We start from the raw sequence: 3,557 nt of genomic DNA, 5'->3' as shown, positions 1-3,557 counted from the left end.
CTCCTGGACTCAAGCAATCTGCCCACCTTGGTCTCCCCGATCCCTCTCAATCTTAGGGATCAGCCGCTAAAGGAATACTGTTTTGGTTGAATTTTGCAATCCCTGGGGTGGAGATGAAAGGGTTGGATGGGAAGGGCAAATCTAAGTCAAATAATCGACACAGTCTTTGCTATAGCTATTTCTTCCTATAATTGAAATGAGTGAGTTTTTACTTTTCCCAAAGAACAATTAAAGGAATAGAAAAGCACTAAAATAGTCATTAGTAGATTTGTAAATACTCCCTGTGGTAGGAAAAAAGAACATTTCTGCCATAGATTAATTCCTGTAGTCAGCAAATAGTTATTGAATATTCTCTGTGTGCTGCTCATTGTCCGTAGGTACTGAGGGCACAGCAGTGAGCAAGATTGACAACATTCTGTCCTTGTAGAGTTGATGTTCTAGTAGGGAGAGACTGAAACAATAAACAAGATTATTTTAGATAGTGGAAAGTGCTACGTAGAAAACAAAATAGGGTAATGTGATGGTGGGGATGGGTAATTAGTTTAGATGGAGTGGTCAGGGAAGGCCTCTCAGAGGAGGTACCCTTTGAGCAGAGTCCTGAATAAAAGTGTGTCAGTCAACAAATATTAGTATAGTTATTATATGACTCAGTCATGTAACTCTTACATATATACCCAAGAGAAATGAAAACCTATGCTCATACAAAAACTTGTACACAAATGTTCATAGCAATATTATTCATAATTGTCAAAAAGTGGAAACAACCTAAATGTTCATCAACCAATTAGTGGATAAACAAAATGTGGTATAACCGTACAATGGAATATTATTCCACTACAAAATGGAATGAAGTTGTGCTATAACATGACCTTTGAAACCATTATGCCAGTTGAAATAAACCAGTCACAAAAGGCCATGTATTGTATGATTCCATTTATATGAAATTTCCGGAATAGACAAATTTATGGAGACAGGTAACACATTCATGGTTGGTGAGGAGAAGAGGAATAAGGGGTAATAGCTAAAAGATCTGGGGGTTCTTTTTGGGGTGAAGAAAAGTGTGAAATTAGATAGTGATGATGATTTCACAACTTTGAATATATTAGAAACCATGGGTTTATATACTTTCAAATTGGTGAATTTTATTGTATGTGAATTATATTTCAATAAAGAAATATAAAAATTGGATCATGGGCTGGGCACGGTGGCTCACGCCTGTAATCCCAGCACTTTGTGAGGCCGAGATGGGTGGATCACCTGAGGTCAGGAGTTCAAGACCAGCCTGGCCAACATGGTGAAACCCTGTCTCTACTAAAAATACAAAAATTAGCTGGGCTTGGTGGCTGGCACCTGTAATCCCAGCAACTCAGGAGGCTGAGGCAAGAGAATTGCTTGAACCCAGGAGGCAGAGGTTGCAGTGAGCCAAGATCATGTCACTGCACTCCAACCTGAGCAACACAGCAAGACTCCGTCAAAAAAAAAAAAAAGGATCAGATCATGAATGCCTGAGAAACAGTACTTTGCTACTCATTTCACAGTGACAGAAAAAACATTAAAAAAAAAAAGAGTGAGTCAGTCATATGGTGATGTGAGGGAAAGGGGTTTTAGGCAGAGAGAACAACAAGTGCAAAGGCCCTGACGGTGGGGAGAGCTTGGTTTATTTGAGGAACAGAAAGCAGCTGGGTATGGCTGCTGTTGAGCAAGTGAGGGAGAGGGTGATGAAAGATAAGGTGGGAGAAGTAGGTAAAGACCAGAAAGTATAGGGTTTTTTACACCATTTTAATGAGTTTGGATTTTTTTCTCAACATAGTGAGAAAGCATTGGAGAGTTTCAAGCAAGGGAATTACATGATCTGGTTTAAAAATGTTTAAGATTCCTCTGACTGCCAGGTGGAGAATAGTTTGTGAAGTGGGATAAAAGTAGAGGTGGGTAGAGAAGCTACTGCAGTAGAGAAGCAGGTGGTGTCGGTAGCCTGGACGAAGGAGGTAACAGAGGAGATGGGGAGAAGCAGGTGGATTCAGGACATACTTGGGAGGCAGAATCATCAGGACACACTGACATAGAGTGTGAGGTGGGAGGGAGGGAAAAAGAGAAATTGGGTATAACTTCTAGATTTTTGGTATGAATTACAAATAAATAATTGTTCTTGTTTCAGATATCTTTAGAGCTCTTTTTGGCTATGTGAAAACTTAAGACTGTATCTAGTTATAACTCAGGAATGCAATATGTAGGTCTGTCCTTGTTTCTTTAGTTACTCATTCAGTACTATATTGCAGTTTCACCCTTTGCTCTCTCAAATAATCCAACCTCCATCAATAGCTGTGTGATCATAATAATGAACGGTCTTTTAATCTTAATTTTACACTTCATTGTTATTATGTTATTATTTCCTCCTGCTATTTTCTCTTGCTGCCTACTTATAAACGTGGACTTTCCAGAACATTCTTCACAGAACTTTCTGTGAAGGCCACTGCCTGACCACTTGTGTCTGCCAGTGAGTTCAGCAACGCAGGGTTCCAAGGAGCTACATCAGGCCATTTTTCCTGGGAGTTGCCCATGGCTTTCATCTGTGGTTTTCAATTACTTTTGCTATTCCTCTTTCCATCAGCATAGCTAATTAAGTTGGCTCCAAGTCTCTGGTAAAAAGGTTTTATAATGAAGAAGGAAAATCTGGTCAACTTATTTCATACAATTCAGCTAAAAGGCTGTACACCAGTCACTTAATAAGGTCACGATAATGTATTTTTTCTCTTGTATGCATTTCAGTTTTATAAAGCGTCGGTTTCTAAATTGCTTTTTAAATTAATGAATATTTCTAAATACAACAGACTTCTTGTGAAGAAATCAAGTCAGTAGCATTAACTTAATCTTTGATTTTATTAGTTGTACAGAATCATGCAGTTTCTCATTAAGCTACTTAGAAGGTGCTCACCTTTCTTTCGGGCACTGTTTATCTAAGTCTTGAAAGAGACCCTTTTGCACTCAATGTGTCTGAAATGTGTTTCATTACTTTTCCCTCAAGCCTGATTTCCCCTGTGCCTTCTGTTCTAATAAACAGCACTCCCATCCAACCAATCAACTGAGTCAGAAACCTCCCCCTCATCTCGCACATTTGATCAGTTGCTAAGTCTTTTCACCTACCTCCTAAATGTCCCACTCGTGTGCCCAGCTGTCCATTTCCATTCATCTCCAATGCCACTGCTCTGGCTCAGGCCTCTCTTTTACCTGGAATATTGCAATAGTGTCCTGACAAGCCCCCTCTTCTATTAGTCATCTTCCTCCCCAAGCCATTCTTCCTGCTGCTGTCACAGTGACTTTTCTAAATGCAAATCTGATTTTTAATCTCCTGCCTAAAAGCTTTCAATGGCTCCCTATAGCTTGTTGGATAACATCCAAACCCTTAGCACAGCACACACAGCCTTCCAATATTTGTACTTTGCTCACTTTTCCAACATCACCTTCAACATAGGGAACATAGATATTTCTTATGCTCTAGGTAACTGAGTTACTTACAGCGCCCCTAAATATGTTATGAGTTTTATGTCCCATTGACTTGG

The 3,557-nt window shown here is 39.5% G+C and overlaps 1 annotated feature.

The window, feature by feature from the left end:
• Positions 1,486-1,565: an enhancer, noted in NCBI's record as "active region_29849". NCBI's record gives its function as "activates an Ori minimal core promoter by ATAC-STARR-seq in GM12878 lymphoblastoid cells {active_cell/tissue: GM12878}" and the evidence as "EXISTENCE:reporter gene assay evidence [ECO:0000049][PMID:35858748]".

Source organism: Homo sapiens, chromosome X (assembly GCF_000001405.40).
Source record: "Homo sapiens chromosome X, GRCh38.p14 Primary Assembly".
NCBI classification, from domain to species: Eukaryota; Metazoa; Chordata; class Mammalia; order Primates; family Hominidae; genus Homo; species Homo sapiens.
The sequence above is the reverse complement of the archived record's forward strand: the minus strand, read 5'-3'. Positions and strand labels throughout refer to the sequence as shown.